Below are 17,269 nucleotides of genomic sequence, written 5' to 3'. Positions count from 1 at the left end.
ACTCTGAAAACATCAAAAGAATAATAGGGGAATGCAACACACAGTTCTACACATATAAATTTGACAACAACTTGGATGAAATAGACCAGTTCCTCAAAAAGTACAAACTACCACAATTTAGCCAATATGAAATTGATCATTTGAATAACCTTATAACTATTATGAAAACTGAATTCACAATTACCTCCCCCAAAGAAATTCCAGGCTCAGATGTTTCATTGGAGAATTCTATCATTTGAAGAAATAACATTAATGCTATACAATTGCTTCCAGAAAATGGAAGAGAAGGGAATACTTCTCAATTCATATTTTGAAGGTAAAATTACTCTGACATCAAAACCAGACAAAAACAGCAAAAAAAAAGAAAACTACTGATGAAATCTCTGTGAATATGATCAAAAATCATTAACAAAATATTAGCAAGGATTATTCCCCAATATATAAAAAGAATTATGCACCATAATATGACTAAGTAAGGTTAATTCCAGGAATACAAGGCTGGTTCAATGTTTGAAAATCAATCACTGTAATCCACTATATTAAGAAGCTAAAGAAGAAAAATCACATGATATCAATTGATGCAGAAAATGCATTTGATACAATTCAACATCAATTTATGATAAAAATTCTTAGTAAACTAAAAATAAATAAACACCAACTACAGAGGCCACACTTGGTGGCTCACACCCGTAATCCCAACAGTTTGGGAGGCCAAGGCAGGCAGTCGCTTGAGCTCAGGAGTTTGAGACCATCCTGGGCAGCATGGCAAAACCCCATCTCTGCAGAAAATTTTTAAAATATTAGCTGGGTGTGGTGATGTGCACCTGTAGTCCCAGCTACTCTGAAGGCAGACATGGGAAGATCACTTGAGCCTGGGAGGCTAAGGCTGCAGTGAGCCATAGCTGTGCCCTGGCACTCCAGCCTGGACAATAAAGTGAGACCATGTCTTAAAAAAAAAATCTACAAAGAACCTACAGCTAACTAACATTATACTTAAAGTCATGGCCTGAGTCATTTCCCCCTAAAATGAGGAGCAAGACAATGACATCTATTACCACTATTCTTGTCAATATACTACTGGAAGTTCTAGAGAGTGCAATAAGACAGGAAAAGGAAATAAAAGGTATTTTATTTAAAGATCAGAAAAGAAGAAATAAAACTGTCCCTATTTGCAGATAACATGATTGTTTATGTGCAAAAAATTCCAAGGATCTACAAAAACCCTCAAAATCCCCAAATCCAGAAAATGACCAAAAAAATCCCTCCTAGAACTAAGTTTAGCAAAGCTTAGAGGATACAAGATAAACATACAAAATTAAATTGCATTTCTATATATTAACAATGAACATATAGACACAAAATTTAAAATGCAATACTATTTACAGCTGCTAAAAAGGACATGCATGTAAACCTAACAAAATACGTACAAGATGCACACTGCAAATGACAGAATGCTGATGAAGGAAATCAAAGATCTAATAAATGGAGAGGCATACTGTGTTCATGCATTACAAACCTCAACATAAGAAAGATGTCAACTCTCCCCAAATTGGTACACAGACTTCATGCAATTCCTGTCAAACTTTCAGCAAGATTTTTGTAGATATAGACAAGATTATTCTAAAATGTATGTGGAAAGGCAGAGGAACTAGAATAGCTAAAACAATTTTTAAAAAGAACAAGGTGGGAGGAGTCATCTTACCTGATTTTAAGACTTATTATATCATTTTAAAGACTGTATTGATGTTGGTGGAGGAATAGATACATAGGCCAATGGAACAAGATGGAGAACCCAGAAACAGACCACTCAAATATGTCCAACTGATTTTTGACAAAGATGCAAAGCAACTCAATAGATAAAGGCTGGTCATTTCAACAAATGGCGCTTGTGATGGTTAATACTGAGTGTCAACTTGATTGGATTGAAGGATGAAAACTATCGTTCTTGGGTGTGTCTGTGAGAGTGTTGCCAAAGGAGATTAATATTTTAATCAGTGGACAGGGAGAGGCAGACCCACCCTCAATCTGGGTGGGCACCATTTAATCAACTGCCAGGCAGCTAGAATAAAGCAGACAGAAGAAGGTGGAAGAACTTGACTTGTTGAGTTTTCTGGCCTTCATCTTTTCTCCCATGCTGGATGCTTCCTGCCCTCGAACACCAGACTCCATGTTCTTCAGCTTTTGGACTTTTGGACTTACACCAGTAGTTTGCCAGGGGCTCGTGGGCCTTCGGCCACAGACTGAAGGCTGCACTGTCAGCTTCCCTACCTTTGAGATTTTGGGACGTGGACTGGCTTCCTTGCTCCTCAGCTTGCAGACAGCCTATCATGGTACTTCACCTTGTGATTGTGTGAGTCAATTCTCCTTAATAAACTCCCCTTCATGTATACACATATCCTATTAGTTCTGTCTCTTTAGAGAACCCTGACTAACACAGTGCTGGAATACTTGAGTATCTTTCGGCAAAATGAACCTCACACTTTACACAAACCTTAAGTAGATTGTGGACTTCAATGTAAGATGTAAAACTATAACACTTTTAGGAAAAAACCTAAAAGAAAATCTTCAGGATATAGGACTATGCAAAAACTTATTAGACTTAACATGATCCGTAAAAGGAAACACTAGTACAGTGGACTTCATCAAAATTACAGATTTTTGGCCTGGCACGGTGGCTCATGCCTAATCCTAGCACTTTAGGAGGCTGAGGTGGGCTGATTGCCTGAGCTCAGGAGTTGGAGACCAGCCTGGGCAACATGGCGAAACCCATCTCTACTAAAAATATAAAAAATTAGCCAGGCATGGGTGTGTGCCTGTAATCCCAGCTACTTGGGAGGCTGAGGCATGAGAATCACTTGAACCTGGGAGGCAGAGGTTGCAGTGAGCCAAGATCATGCCACTGCACTCCAGCCTCAGCAAAAGAGCAAGACTCTGTCTCAAAAAAAAAAAAATTACAGATTTTTGCTGTGTGTAAAACTCTGTTGAGACGATGAAGGACAAACCATAGACTGAGAGAAAATATTTGCAAACCACATATCTGACAAAGAACAAAAATCTAGAATGTAGTTAAAAACTCTCAAAACTCAACAGTTAGAAAAAATACAACAGAGGCTGGGCACAGTGGCTCAGCCTGTGAACCCAACACTTTGGGAGGCCGAGGCGGGTGGATAATTTGAGGTCAGGAGTTCAAGACCAGCCTGGCCAACATGGTGAAACCCTGTCTCTACTAAAAATACAAAAATTAGCCAGGCATGGTGGTGCATGCCTGTAATTCCAGCTACTCTGGAGGCTGAGGCAGCAGAATCGCTTGAACCCAGGAGGCAGAGGTTGCAGTGAGCCGAGATCACACCACTGCACTCCAGCTTGGGCAACAGAGCAACACTTCGTCTCAAAAAAAAAAAAAAGAAAAAAGACAATAGAAAGTGGGCAAAATTTATGAACACAGATTTCACTGAAGAAGGTATACAGGTGGCAAATAAGCACATAAAAATATGTTTGATATCATTTGCCAGTAAGGAAATTAAAACCATAATGAGATATCACCACACACCTATCAGAATGGGTAAAATGGAAAATATCAACACTACCAAATGCCAACCATGAGAAGAGAAAGTAGATCACACGTACAATCCTGGTAGGGACATGAAATAGTACAGCCACTCTGGAAAAGTCTGGCAGTTTATTAAAAAACTGCACGTGCAACTAACGTTAACCAGCAACTGCACTCCTGGGTATTGATCACAAAAAAAAATGAATCCCTATGTTCACACTAAAACTTGTACAGGAATGTTCATAACAGCTTTGTTCATAATAACCAAAAACTGGAGACAACCCAGATCCTTCCATGGGTGAATGATTAAACAAACTGTGGTGTATCCGTACCATGGAACACTATTCATCACTAAAAAGGAAGAAGCATTGAGAGACGCAACAACTTGGATGAATCTCCAGAGAATTAGAAGAGTGAAAAATGCCAGTCCCCAAAGGTTTTATTTTATACATATATATATATATATATACACACACACACACATAAACATTTTGGAAACAATAAAATTATAGAAATAAAGAACAGATTGGGGTTGCTATGGTCTGAATGTTTGTATCCCCCTAAGATTCATATGCTGAAACCTAATCATCAATGTGATCATATTAGAAGGTGGAGCCTTTGTAAAGTAATTAAATTAGTGCCCCTATAAAAGAGGCCTCAGAGAGCTCCCTTAGCATTTCCGTCATGTGAGGACGCAGTAAGAAGGTGCCTTCTATGAGCCAATAAATGGGCCCCCATCAGACACCAAATCTGCTGGTGCCTCGATCTTGAACTTCCTACTCTCCAGAACTAGAAGAAATAAATTGCTGTTGTTTATAAGCCATTCAGTTTATGGTACTTTGTTATAGCAGCCCCAGTGGACTAAGACAGGGGTTAAGGAGGGAGTTAGTAGGTGGGAGGGAAGTGGGTACAATTATAAAAGGACAACATGAGGGATCCTTTTGGTGGCAGAATTGTTTTGTATCTTGACTGTATTAATATGGATATCCTGGTTATGATGTTGTAGTATAGTTTTGTAAGATATTATTGGTGGAAACTGGGTAAAGCTTATAGGAGATCTCATTTCTTCCATGTGAGTCTATAATTTTCCCAAAATAAAAAAGTTTAATAAAGTTTAGGGGTAAAACCTAGATATATCAAGAGACTTTAGGCAAATTTCTACTTTAACACTTGGCAGCTCCACTGAATATAGTATATCCACAGAATATGGTGATAAGATCATCTTGGTAGTCCTGGGTCCCATCATGCTAGGACTAGGAGGGTCAATTGGAGGAGCTGCATGAGGTTACATTCTTGAAGGGCCTCAAATGTAAATATCTGATATTATTTCCAGAGATACGCTGATAAGATCAAAGGATGGCAAACAAGGATGTTGTAGGAGATATAGCCAGTGCTTTGTCCAGACCCCCTGGAGTCCCTCAAAGCACTTCTGTCTACCCCATCCTTGGCTTCTGTGTGTTTTGCTTCTGTGTCACTGTTCATTCTGAGAACAGATGCAGGCTAGTGAAGCTGCTTTGGGTCACCAAGAACCAGAACGGCCTGTGAGTTTACACCTCGCACCATCACTCGTACAAGAGTGCAAAAGCTCAGTTCCTTCGCATCTGTTACATTCCAGAGTTCAGGATCAGGGTGGGGGCTGGTACTTCTGAAATCATACCCTTACGTGGCCTCTTCTCCTAGCTTTACCCTTTTCTTCACTTCCTTACTGGTTTCTTCTGGAAGCCCTTAAAAAATCATCTGTATGACTTTTCTTCTGGGAATCCAACCTCAGATCAAATAACTTTCAACATGTATTCCATTACTGGACTAGTCTAAGTATTCAAATGCATTAAAATTTTTAATAAATATGAATGCATACAAATTTATAAAGGTTAATAAATTATACATTTTCTTATGAATGGCATCATTATATTATGCTGTATTTTGTCAATATGGATTGAACACACTATGTAAGCATTTAAAATATACACCAATTTTATAATCTTGCTTTGGTACATCTTTCTTTTTTAATCTGCTGAATGTTTTAAGAAACAAAAATGGAATGGCCTGAGCATCTCTTGCCATTTGAGTGGGTCTTAATTCCACATTCAAATATAATTATTGCAGCTTTGGATCTTTAAAAATGGTCAATATCACTTCTGACAGCTTTTACTGGTTTCTGATTAAGAGCCTGTGGTGATTAAAAGTCTGTGATTAAAAAGCCTAAACATGAAATCCAAGCCATTGGTGCTTACACTCTTTTGACCAAAGTAGCAAAAGACCTAACTTTCATCCAGCCCATCTCTTTCTTGGGCAGGGAGAAAAGAACTTGGTGACAACAGAGAACTGGAGAGGAACAATAGGAATTATTTACTTACTTACTTTTTTTTTTTTGAGACAGAGTCTCGCTCTGTCGCCCAGGCTGGAGTGCAGTGGCACGATCTTTGCTCACTGCTAGCTTCGCCTCCCAGGTTCACGCCATTCTCTTGCCACAGCCTCCCGAGTAGCTGGGACTACAGGTGCCTGCCACCACGCCCGGCTAATTTATTTTTATTTTTATTTTTTGTATTTTTAGTAGAGACAGGGTTTCACCGCATTAGCCAGGATGGTCTCGATCGCCTGACCTTGTGTTCCACCGTCCTCGGGCTCCCAAAGTGCTGGGATTACAGGCATGAGCTACCGTGCCCGGCCTATTTACTTACTTTTAAGAGAGGAGTATGATCTCATTCATATGATTTTATATTCCTAAATACTGCCCTATTTTTCAAAAAACAAGTAATTTTTCACACTTGCCTTGATAAATATGTTATTTAAGCAGAAAAAATTCATAGCCAGCATATTTTCATAAAGTATAAGCAAATTTCAGAGGAATTACAAGTTGATTGTTTTAGTAATAAGAACTCGAACCTCTAAATGTCTATTATTTTATTTATTTATTTAGTTTTTTGAGACAGACTCTCGCTCTGTTGCCCAGGCTGGAGTGCAGTGGCTGACCTCAGCTCACTGCAGCCTCCGCCTCCCAGGTTCAAGTGATTCTCCTCCCTCAGTCTCCCAAGTAGCTGGGACTACAGGCATGTGCCACCACGCCTTGCTAATTTTTATATTTTTGGTAGAGACGGGGTTTCGCCATGTTGCCTGGGTTGGTCTCAAACTCCTGACCTCAGGTGATCTGCCGGGCTTAGCCTCCCAAAGTGCTGGGATTACAGACATGAGCCATGGCGCCCCACCCAAATGTATATTATTTTAAAGTCGCTATAGAAAAAGTGAAAATATTTAAAGTAGTTAACACTACATAGAGTTGGTTTAATCAAACAACTCACAATAAGCTTACTTGATATTGATGAAGCCAAACATAGTTAATAAATAAACAGTAATAACAGCTCGTAAAGACCATGACTTCCTGGGGGAATGGTGCTATTAACATCCTCCTTCCAAAACTGGGAATTCCAATTACCTTCAACTGTGCATGAGCAAGAGCTTTGTAATATTGCACATCCAAATGATGATCATTCTTGATAAACCCGAAAAATGCACTCATTTTAATTTACAAATTCTTAACATTAGTAACTTCCTATATCTTACTTGGTGGATTTCTAATTGTATGTAAAAATAAAAATCTACAAATTATTTTCCTATGATAATTGAAGAAATGCCTTGGGCATTTGTATCATTTAATACAAATGAGGTATACCAGTGGACCATGGCCCTATTTGGAGTATCACTGGTCTAGACTTTTCAAATATAATCACTAAAAATGTATCTTAGTCATGAATGTTTGGTTGCCAAGAATGTAAACCTACCTTTATTAACTTCTTAGGGCTACTGTAACCAATACCGCAAACAACAGAAGTTTATTCTCTCACAGTTCTGGAAGATAGAAGTCTGAAATCAAGATGTGGTAGGGCCATGCTCCCTCCAAAGGCTCTAGGGAAAAATCCTTTCTTGTCTCTTCCAGCATCTGGTGGCCCCAGACGTTCCTTGGCCTATGGCAATCTAACCCCAATCACCACCTTTACCCTCACATGGCTGTCTTCTCCCTATGTGTCTCTTTGTGTCCTCTCTTCTTATGAAGACACCAGTCATTAGACTTAAGGCTGATAGCACTTTGCATAGCACTTCTGTGATGACATTGCTTTAACCTGATAGCTTTGACACCAAAAAAGAGGAAAAGGGAGAAATGATGGTTTAGCTTTACCTAAGTTTAATCCCGAATGAGCTCATATTAAACAATTGTATCAGCAAAAACCATATTTCCAAATAAAGTCACATTCTGAAGTTCTAGGTGGACATGAAATTTTAGGGAACATGATTCAACCTCTACAATGACCCAAGCCAGCTCAAGTCAAAAAGTTTTTAAGGTTTAGTTATCACAGAATGCAAGGAAAAGCTAAACTGTCTGGCTTTTCAAAGTACAGGAACCAGACAGATACATGGCTTTCAGTGGCAAAAGTTCATGATCTTCAGTCTAGGGTCTACCATGTATATGACACAGTTATGGAGGAAGCATATTTCCCATAAAATACAGGCAAGTGTAATAAAAGTCTGCTTCTCCTCTGTATGGCTACCACCTTGCTCAGTTTTGTGGAATCTTAGTTATCTGGGAAGGGAATACGATTGGCCCAGCTTGGGTCTAGTGTTCCCCTTTGATTCAGTCAAGTCTGGCCAGGACCGTGGGTGGTAGGATGGTGATGGTGGTGAGGTCATAATGACTGTGAGCAGGAGCAGATTCTGTGAGAAGGGACTTGAGCAGAGTGGGCATTTTGATCCACATGTCAATATTAAATGATCCCAGCACAGTGTTTGGCACAAAGTAGGTGTTCCCAAAATACTGTTGAATAAGATGTAAATAATGGTCTGATCTTCCTTGGTTCTTTCCAAGTACTCCTGTTCCATCTCTAGCACTTCCTATTTTTGTCCTGTTCTCATGAAGCCATATCCTTTGTGTAGACTCTTTGTTTGTCCCATCCCATAAGCTCCTGTTGCCCTCGGCACACATTCACCCTTGTCTTTCTCTGCCATCCACTCCCAGAACACCTTCCTGGTTTTTCCTTACTACCTCAGACCCCAGTGTGTACTCTAATCCAATAAGCCATAGTACATAGAAACACAATGGAAAATAATGTTTTTACATTTAAAAGCTGTTTCTCACAATCTCATCTCATTTTTTTTTGGCCACAATCCTGAGAAGTGGGTATTATCATCCCTATTTTCAGATAAGGACTTTGAGGCTTTTGAGTGTTAAATTGTTATGGACAATGCTAGTAGGTAGGAGAACTGGGACTTGAACTCAGATCTTCTTACTCTAAGTTCTGTGTTCCTTTGAAGATAGTACTCCTTGATGATAGCACTTTGGATAGCACTCCTGTGATGACATTGCTTTGACCTGATAGCTTTGACACCAAAAAGGAGGAAAAAGGAGAAATAATGGTTTAGCTTTACCTTTATAAATGCTTGTTAGTGGGAGGGACCCCATCTCATCAACAATGTGACATTTTCTCTTGAAATGTCTCACCCAGCTCATAGGTGTGCCCATTTAAAACATGCAAGGTAAACATCGAGCCAACGTTTCACAAATAATCTTTTGTCCAGCATTTGAGATCTTTGGCAGTTTTACTTTCTTCTCCCACACTTGCCTTTCTTATCCCAGAATGCCTCTGTCTGCTTGTGTTTCTTTGGATGTTAGATTCATTCCTTGTGCACACCATTACCTGACCTCTGTAGAATGCCCTTCCTATTCTCCCAGGCTTAAAGCTCTTCTATGGACCACCTCCTTCCTGCCTTCTTCTCCAGACTTACATCTAAATGTAAGATTCCTGCACTTTTGCTGGTCTGGCCTTTAAATTGCACTCATGCTAATCAACTGACCTGTTGAGCTCTCTCCTTCTCTTCTTCCTTGAACCTGCCTTGATAGATTCATCTTTAGGTGTTCACTTTCCCTAGAATTATTGCCTATTCTACTCTTATTACACTTAGTAAACAATTTTTATTATTATTTATCTTTCTACGTAAGCATCTTGTAACTCAGAGTGTTGGTACCTTGAGCATAGGGGTCCTACCCTGCACCTAGGCCAGGACTTAAACAGGATAGGTGGTCAAAGAAATTTAGTTGAATATATCCATAACTCCACCAAAAACCATTTTTAGAGGCATGGCAGGATGGGAGGTTGATTTATTCTTTATTTTCCCTCTTTGTCACGTATATGCTAGTCTCACTAAAATATTTTGTATGTAGTGATGAGCTCTGGGTTTGGAGATAAAGGACCTGGTTTCAGATTCTGTCTGCCTTGTATTAGCTGTGTAGCCTTGGACAAGTCATTTAATTTATTTTTATGTAAGTTTCTTCAACTGGAAAATGGGTAGGAATACCTGTCCTAACCCCCCACAGTGTTGTAGTGAGAACCAAATGAGATGATGCTTGTGAAAGAATTTACCAATCTGTAAAGCACTGTGTAATGGATTATAAACACTGCCTCCTCATGTGCTTACCCTGACACGTTTTATGCTTTCATCCTTCTAAGAAGCAGTTGTTTGTGCATGGGGATCACCTGGCATTCTTGCTGCAGCACTCCATCATAACCCTCAGCACAGAATGCAACATACAGTTTGCCAATCGACTTCAGTGGGATGTGAAAAGTGAAAAGTGCATTTAATTCTCACTAAGATGCCTTGGCTCAGATTCAACAAATGCCATTTACTTGAAGGCCTTTTATTTGCTTTTTCTGCCTGCCCCCCTGCCAAAATCTTCATCTATTTGTTCATTTATTCATTTACTCATTTAACATAATTGTTTTGAGTGCCTACCAGGGTCATGTTAGACACCCAAGAAGTAAAGTGAGTACTTCAAGATATTCACGTTGTACTGAGTGTAAGACACACAAAAACTTACAGTAGATAAAAGAACTATAATAGGATATATAGGATACACTGTGTACAGAGGTAGGAAAGATCATTTTTGCGAAGTGAGGGAGTGTGTGTCATGAAAGGCTTCAAAGGAGGTGCTAGTCTGTCTTCAAAACTAAGTAGCAGGAGAAGGTAGAGGCGATGCAGGTGAAAGAAACAGCTTTCACAGCAGGTGAAAGAAAAAAAGCGCTCTGGGAACCATTGTTAGCTCAGGCTGTGATTTCGTTCATTCTATTACAGTGGGTTAAATTACCTGTTGTTTGCCAAACCCTATACCAGTTTATGGGGTTACAGGGGTCAGTGTAGGCATCATGGGGGCGGACGGTGAAGTAGCAAAGGAAAACCAGCCACAGTATGAAGAGCCTCGAACAACCATTTTACTCCGTGCCAGTACACATGGGAAAGGGTTGAAAGGATATGTGAACCTGCCGCCACCAATTCCTTGATTATTCACTGGAACCCTTTCAGCCAGAGAAGATAGACACAGTACTGGGCTTTACTGAGGACTGGGTGGCGCTGTCTTTAGGGGCAGGTTAATAATATACACCTAAGTGACAAGAACACTCACACCCGAGGAAATTAGAGTAGTAAATAGACACGTGGAAAAATGTGCCATCTTATCAGTAATTAAAGAAGCAAAAATGTAAACAAAGCGGCACCTAGTAAGGTAGAAGACAAAGCAAAATATCTAAGGCTGTTAAATAATGGGGAAGCAGGCGCCTTAGAAAACAAGGGCAAATGTAAAAAACCTCTAAGGCAAGAGTTCGGTGGGGAATCTGCGGGATTCTGTGTGCTGAAGCGCAGGAGGCACGAGTCACCTTTGCAGTCTCCGGTACCAAACGGGCAAGGGGTCCCCGTAAGACTGCTGCACCCTGGCCGAAGGTAGCGGGTGAAGCGCCTCGGCGTCTCTAGGCAACCGATCAGCCCGCCCACTCCGGGGTGACTTCCTCGTAATTGGCTCTCGAATCCACCAATGGGCGCACAGGGGGAGCTTCCCGCCACCTCTGGCGCCCGCTTTCAAACAGCCGTACTTTGCAACTGCAGGTGGACTTCTCAACCAAGCTTGAGGAAGGCGGAGACTTCTGCCTCCTCGCTCTGCCCTGAGCTGGCACGGCTCCGCCCACCGGGCGAGCTTCTAGTCGGCGATTGAAGGATGCGAGTGCTCCTTAAGGGCCTCCGCCCCGTGAGTTCGGTTGTGACTAGGAAGGAGCTAGTGGACTAGAGCCAGGGTAAGGGGATCTGCTAGAAGTTGGTCTTCCGCCAGGACTAGAGTTTCCTCGCGGTAACAGCCTCCGTGGCCTCCGGTAAGTTCTGATTCACGGGTGAGCTTGGACCTGGGGTTAGAGGAGTTGCGGGGTCCTCGGGATGCTGGCTGAGGGTTCCTGGGGGGGCTGACCTGCCCCCTCCCCAAATCCCGCGGTGGTGGACTGCCCGCATGTTGCGGGCTCAGCTTTTACCTTAACGTGTCATTTAGACCTCTTCATTCCTCCAATATCCTACTTAGAAGTGACATATGGGAAGCCCGCCTCGTTTCCAGGCTGCTGGGGTCGCCCTGAGACCCTACTCTGCGGACCCCGCCTTGGTCACCCTGGCGTCACGCCTGGCTCACAGTAGGTGCTCTGTGCACGTGTGTTGACCGAGTACAAGTGACGCTGGCACCCGAAGCCAGTAGCCCCGGGCATCCTGGGCCCCGTGCGGCTTTGGTCATGTTTGTAGTGCCGTAGCTGACGCCAAACAGTTCCTCAAGGTCATTCGCTCAGCCTGTGGATGCTTATTGTGTATTAGCATTACTCGCTCCGCCCTCTGGGCAACTTGAATCAATTTGTCCAAAGTGCTGTTATTAGCACTGATCACAAGATGTTGTGATCATTTGTTTATATGTCTATTTTCTTTCCCTTCATCGTGTCCTGTTAAACTTTGTAATCTTGAACAGTGCTTGGTAAATTGTCGAATGAATGAATAAGGTGTCTCCACCAGGTGTTGCAAGTCTAAACCGGGCTATGTGCTCTGGCTATTTCCATTCTAGAAGGCGAGTTATGTCAGCAAGTAAGTAGAATTTCCCAACTCCAAGTGCAGTTCTTAGAAACCCCTTTTGTGGGGGTTTATAACCCTTCCTATATCGTAGTCATGAACTTGAGTCTGATTTAAGCCTATTATCACCTTATACCTTCATAGTGCGTGACAATGAACATGCACTCCCTAGACAGGTGAATGCACTCAACTAAAGAGAAGCTGAAGTTGAAGCCATAAGAAAAGCATAAGAAATACAGTCTGAAAGTGCAAAGGAGTGGCCAGCTCCATGGGGGAACAGGCTTGGGAGGGCATCTTGAAGGAGGGTGGCATTTTTGTTCCATAGGAGGTTGCATTATTAGAAGTGACATTTCTCATAGGCTGCACATTCACCTTTTCTCAGATATGCGGAATCCTCTTTATTCCCTAAACCTCTTCGGTAGCTGGCAGACTCCTATTCATCAGTAATAATGTCATAATAGTAATAAAACTACAATGTATTGATTGGTACATAGTGCTAATTACTTTACATGTAGTATCTTGTGAATCCTCAGAATCAATCTTTGAAGTAGGTATTATTTTTACCCCCATTTCTTTAACGTAGAAGCAGAAACAGTTTGCTCAAGATTGCACTGCTGATAAATAGAAGAGCCAGAATTGAGCCCAGGTTGTCTGAATGAGTGCCCTCATTCTTAGAACCACTTATAGCCATATTGTGTCCTTTAAGATTTATTTCTAATCTAAAAGCTCTTTTTTTTCTGTAAAACTTCTCTAAACTATCCTTTCTTCTTAGGAAAAGTAATTTGTGCTTTGTACTTTCATCTACTACGGAATTTATTACAATATGTTATTGTAACTGTTTATATCAGTGGCTCTATCTAAGAGAGGGTGAGCAGAGACAGTGAGCTCCTCATGGCTGGTACCATGTCTTAGGTGCATCTAGGATATGATCTGGAACACAGTGGGTATTCAATAAAATTTTATTGAAGTAATGAATTCGTATAAGGTAACATGCCTATATCATATTCAGTCAACAAATATTTGTTATGTACCCACCATGTGCAAGCAGGCAGATACATTTTAATTCTGCCTTCAGGGTGCTTATAGTTTATTAGATGAAGCAAAAACAATGCTACTTTTGCTTTGTAATCTTTTGTCCAAATACCCATTGCTTTTGTTGCAAGGAGGGCAGAGAAAACAACCGGGGACAACAAAAGGAATGCTGGGTCAGAGCATCCATCTGAGTGTAACAACAAGACATACTTTTTATAGTCTTGTTAAGGGTTCAGAAAAAGTTATCTAGGAAGAAAGTCTACCAGACTGCTATTGAAGAAGAAAACCAAAACATACTGTATACTTAATCTGCATCTTGATTTCTCAAGTGGTCAGCCTTGAGTCAATAGATATAGAAAATTTTCAGTATTTTTACTAGTGGCATAGTATTGACAAATTAATTCAAAATAATTTTACTAGTGTAAATGTTAATTTTCAATATATTAATATTGATAGTTTTCAAGATGGTTTAGCAGTTGATATTTTCACCAGCAACTCATGAGCCATACAAAATACAAAATAGTCACCACTGGGTGATAACAAGTTTTTTTTTTGTTTGTTTGTTTTTTCAATCTAGTGGTTGAAAATGGCATATTGTTTAAATGACACTTCTTTGAAACATCACGAGCTTAAGCATCTTTTCAAACTAATTGATTTACACTTTTTAAAATAAATTGTCATGTCAGTCGCCCAATTTTATATTGGATTGTCTTTTTCTCATTTCTTTGTAATAATTTTATATTGGGACTTTGTCAGGTGCTTTGCAAATTTTTTTTATTCTTATTTTTCTTGACTTTGTTATTGATGTATTTTTTCATATATAATATTTGACTCGTTAATGATGTCTTTTGCCTTAAACAAAATTTTATTTTTTGTGGTTAGGTTTCCATCACATTTTTCTTTATGGCTTTTGGATTTACTATCTTGCTATTTTTTTTTTTTAAAGAAGTCTCTTTTGTTGTTCTGAATATTATACTAAAGTCTCTGGTAGCAGTGATAATGAGTGGTGATTAATAAGTTAAGGTATTAGCTTTTATTTTAAGTCTCATTTAAAATATGTATTACCTTTTTACTATATATATTTTTAACCACATTAAGTTGATCAGGTTTCCCTTTATGTCTGAAATCATTTCTTAAAGTCTTTTATAGTTTATAGTTCTGATAAGGAAAACTTATACCTTCTTCAGTGGGGGAGATTTTGGTCTTTTCAGGTATTTTTAGATGTCTTCTTTAATGACATGTTTTGAATTTAAAATAACATTAAAGATATATACTTTGATATTTTACATTCTCTTTAAAAACAAAACCCTAAGTATTCTCTATCTGAGAAAAAGTAGCTGTCTATTTAAAATATTAGTAGCTACATTTTTAGCAATAGGCTCTTATAAATCTTAATGTTCTTTTTCAATAATCAACATCAGTTGATGGCAGGTTAATAAAGGATGGGAACAAACCTCTCTTCTCTAACTTAATGAAGGAGAAAGTAACCCAAATTCCATATTTCGTCTTGTATTTATATTTGAATGAAAGAAAGGTAGAAGACACAGAATTCAGAAACAGAAAGGATTTTTTCTGCCTGGAGGATTCAGGAATTTCTTTAAGGTCCAGCTTAATTTCATCTCTTTTTTTTTTTTTTTTTTGAGACGGAGTCTCGCTCTGTCGCCCAGGCCGGACTGCGGACTGCAGTGGCGCAATCTCGGCTCACTGCAAGCTCCGCTTCCCGGGTTCACGCCCTTCTCCTTCCTCAGCCTCCCGAGTAGCTGGGACTACAGGCATCTCTTTTAAGGACATAGGATTTAATTGGGCTAGTATTTTCAATATATATAGTGTTCTGTAGAATATTAAGTCTATTTGCATAGTGGAAAAAAATCTAGAGACATGAGATTGTGTGTTTTTCCCTCACCATTTCATGTTACAGGCTTTTTATCATATTCATATCTTCATCTTATGTTGACATACAAAAGGATTCTTATAGATAGATTTATTTTCCTCGATATGCATGTCTCTTCCCCCGTTTAGCCCTGTCACAAGGGTAGAAAGGAATAGGTGTGGTCTGAGAAGCAGAGGCTGGAGGGTTTTAAGTTGAGGTATAGTCTGAGTTGATATGAGTTTAAAGGGACGGGTTGGGTGTAGGGACCAGAGAGGAAGGGATTAGAAGGTAGACTGCAAATTAGAGGTTGGCCAAGAAACATAACTCAGTCTTTGAAAAACAAAAACTTGTCATAGGGGGATTTTTACCACTGAAGTTCATATGTATGTTAATCTTTAATACCATATTCATCTATTCTAGCTTGCATATTTTCTTTTCACACTTTAATATCTACAACATAGACTGCGTCCTAAAATTAATGTTATGTCATAATTTGATTGGCTACATCTCGTTCCTACTGCTACAAATGGAACTGCATCATAGAATCAAAGACATCTTAGATCTGATGAAATGGGATATTGTCTGCTCTAGAGCTATTGGCTTCCACAAAAGTTTGTGATATAGTTCGTATCTGTTAAGACGAGGGAGCTAAGTTCTCTATGGTAAAATGCATTTGGATTGCTGGGTCTCCATGCTTCTGATTTTACTTCCAATTTAATGACATTTTAGAGCTTGAAAGGTGTAGTGAATGAGTTGTGGCTCAGGCTCACATCCAAGTGCGTTTCATTGGCATGAACAACAGTGGACTGAATGGAGGGCAGTGTTAGGCCAGGTAATTGATGACACCTGCCTACTTTTTTGTTGTGATTGTTCAGAGCTTTGAAGTTCTGAGGAGTTTATGTATAGTGTCAGGATCCCTAAGTACAAGTTAAATCAGCAGCAGCTTTTTTGAATGTAAGTAGTTGAAAACCCATTTCCTGCTGCTGCTTCTGCCGCAGCAGTCACTGCTCCCCAGGGAACTCTTGCTGTTGCTTTTGGAATTGGAAGTCCACAGTGGTGGAGCTTCACAGCCTTCACTTCTGTTTTTCCCGAGTATATTGCCAGAACCTGATTTTATCAAGCTTAAGAGGAGGACATTTAAGACTTATATTTTGTTGTGCACTCTATGGCATTGACTGAATTGTAAATGGTTTCTGGGTAGTAGTCATTCACTCATGATTTAGGGGCCTTCTTCTTGTAAAGCATGATATTTGGATTTCTGATATTAAAAAAAAATGAAGCAATAGGGTACTGCCTGTGCCATGTTTAATATATCACATTTGAAGTTTTGTTTGAGCTTAAGATTTTTACATTTGGCACATTTCTAGTTTATTATTATTGTCATCTTATTTTTCATGTCGGCAAAAATCTTACTGTTTTATACTCTTCAGACCACTAGAAAGGTCTATTCATAGCTTTATTACCTATTTGCATGTTTTCTTTTCCATGAATTGCTGTCATATAGCTATTTTCGGTGAATCACCATTATTTTTATTGGCCATAACTGAGTTATACATATTTTCTCCCAGTCTGTTTCTGTCTTTTCACTTTGTGTATGTATGGCATCTCTTATGTAGTTTGTCCTGGGGAGATTTTATGTGGTGTCCAGAAACCAAACATCTTTCCCTTCCCACAGGAGGACCATGTCATTAGACTTTGGCAGTGTGGCACTACCAGTGCAAAATGAAGATGAAGAGTATGACGAAGAGGACTATGAAAGAGAGAAAGAGGTAAGTTGTTAAAAAAAAAAAAAAAAAGAGACACTAAACCCAATCTTTAACAAGTTTTATTTCTTGATCAAAATTGTATCATCTTGTGTCATTTTGAAGGGATTTGGATTTTTTAAAAAAAAAACAACCCTAAAATCT

At 39.6% G+C, this 17,269-nt stretch overlaps 1 protein-coding gene and 1 long non-coding RNA gene across 14 annotated transcripts in view, besides 4 other annotated features; one reads left to right on the top strand and one right to left on the bottom strand.

Moving 5' to 3' along the window:
* On the bottom strand, positions 10,785-11,996 carry LOC124903487 (uncharacterized). The gene is made up of 2 exons (XR_007064626.1): positions 11,887-11,996; positions 10,785-11,763 (listed from the first exon to the last, which is right to left on the bottom strand). It is a non-coding gene; the product is annotated as an uncharacterized LOC124903487 (long non-coding RNA).
* Positions 11,196-11,255: an enhancer, noted in NCBI's record as "active region_9378". NCBI's record gives its function as "activates an Ori minimal core promoter by ATAC-STARR-seq in GM12878 lymphoblastoid cells {active_cell/tissue: GM12878}" and the evidence as "EXISTENCE:reporter gene assay evidence [ECO:0000049][PMID:35858748]".
* Positions 11,431-11,621: a silencer, noted in NCBI's record as "fragment chr15:49103270-49103460 (GRCh37/hg19 assembly coordinates)". NCBI's record gives its function as "represses an EF-1alpha promoter that drives an FKBP-Casp9 reporter gene in an ReSE screen in HepG2 liver carcinoma cells and K562 erythroleukemia cells {active_cell/tissue: HepG2 | K562}" and the evidence as "EXISTENCE:reporter gene assay evidence [ECO:0000049][PMID:32094911]".
* Positions 11,625-17,269, top strand: part of CEP152 (centrosomal protein 152) — an 81,987-nt gene continuing 76,342 nt past the window's right edge. For 12 of the 13 annotated variants that reach the window (XR_931769.4, XM_047432254.1, XM_047432253.1 and 9 more), the window contains exons 1-2: positions 11,625-11,733; positions 17,038-17,131. Coding sequence is in view for 12 of the 13 variants with exons in the window: in XM_047432254.1 (XP_047288210.1) it covers positions 17,045-17,131 (87 nt within the window). In the remaining variant the exon portion in view is untranslated. Of the gene's footprint in view, positions 11,734-12,099; positions 12,476-17,037; positions 17,132-17,269 lie in introns of those variants that run through there. The other variant, XM_006720437.4, reaches the window with a different exon arrangement.
* Positions 11,914-12,475: an enhancer, noted in NCBI's record as "H3K27ac hESC enhancer chr15:49102416-49102977 (GRCh37/hg19 assembly coordinates)". NCBI's record gives its function as "activates a minimal SCP1, AML or CMV promoter by ChIP-STARR-seq in primed H9 embryonic stem cells {active_cell/tissue: H9 hESC(primed)}" and the evidence as "EXISTENCE:reporter gene assay evidence [ECO:0000049][PMID:30033119]".
* Positions 14,698-15,198: an enhancer, noted in NCBI's record as "H3K4me1 hESC enhancer chr15:49099693-49100193 (GRCh37/hg19 assembly coordinates)". NCBI's record gives its function as "activates a minimal SCP1, AML or CMV promoter by ChIP-STARR-seq in naive H9 embryonic stem cells {active_cell/tissue: H9 hESC(naive)}" and the evidence as "EXISTENCE:reporter gene assay evidence [ECO:0000049][PMID:30033119]".

Source organism: Homo sapiens, chromosome 15 (assembly GCF_000001405.40).
Source record: "Homo sapiens chromosome 15, GRCh38.p14 Primary Assembly".
Classification (NCBI taxonomy): Eukaryota; Metazoa; Chordata; class Mammalia; order Primates; family Hominidae; genus Homo; species Homo sapiens.
The sequence above is the reverse complement of the archived record's forward strand: the minus strand, read 5'-3'. Positions and strand labels throughout refer to the sequence as shown.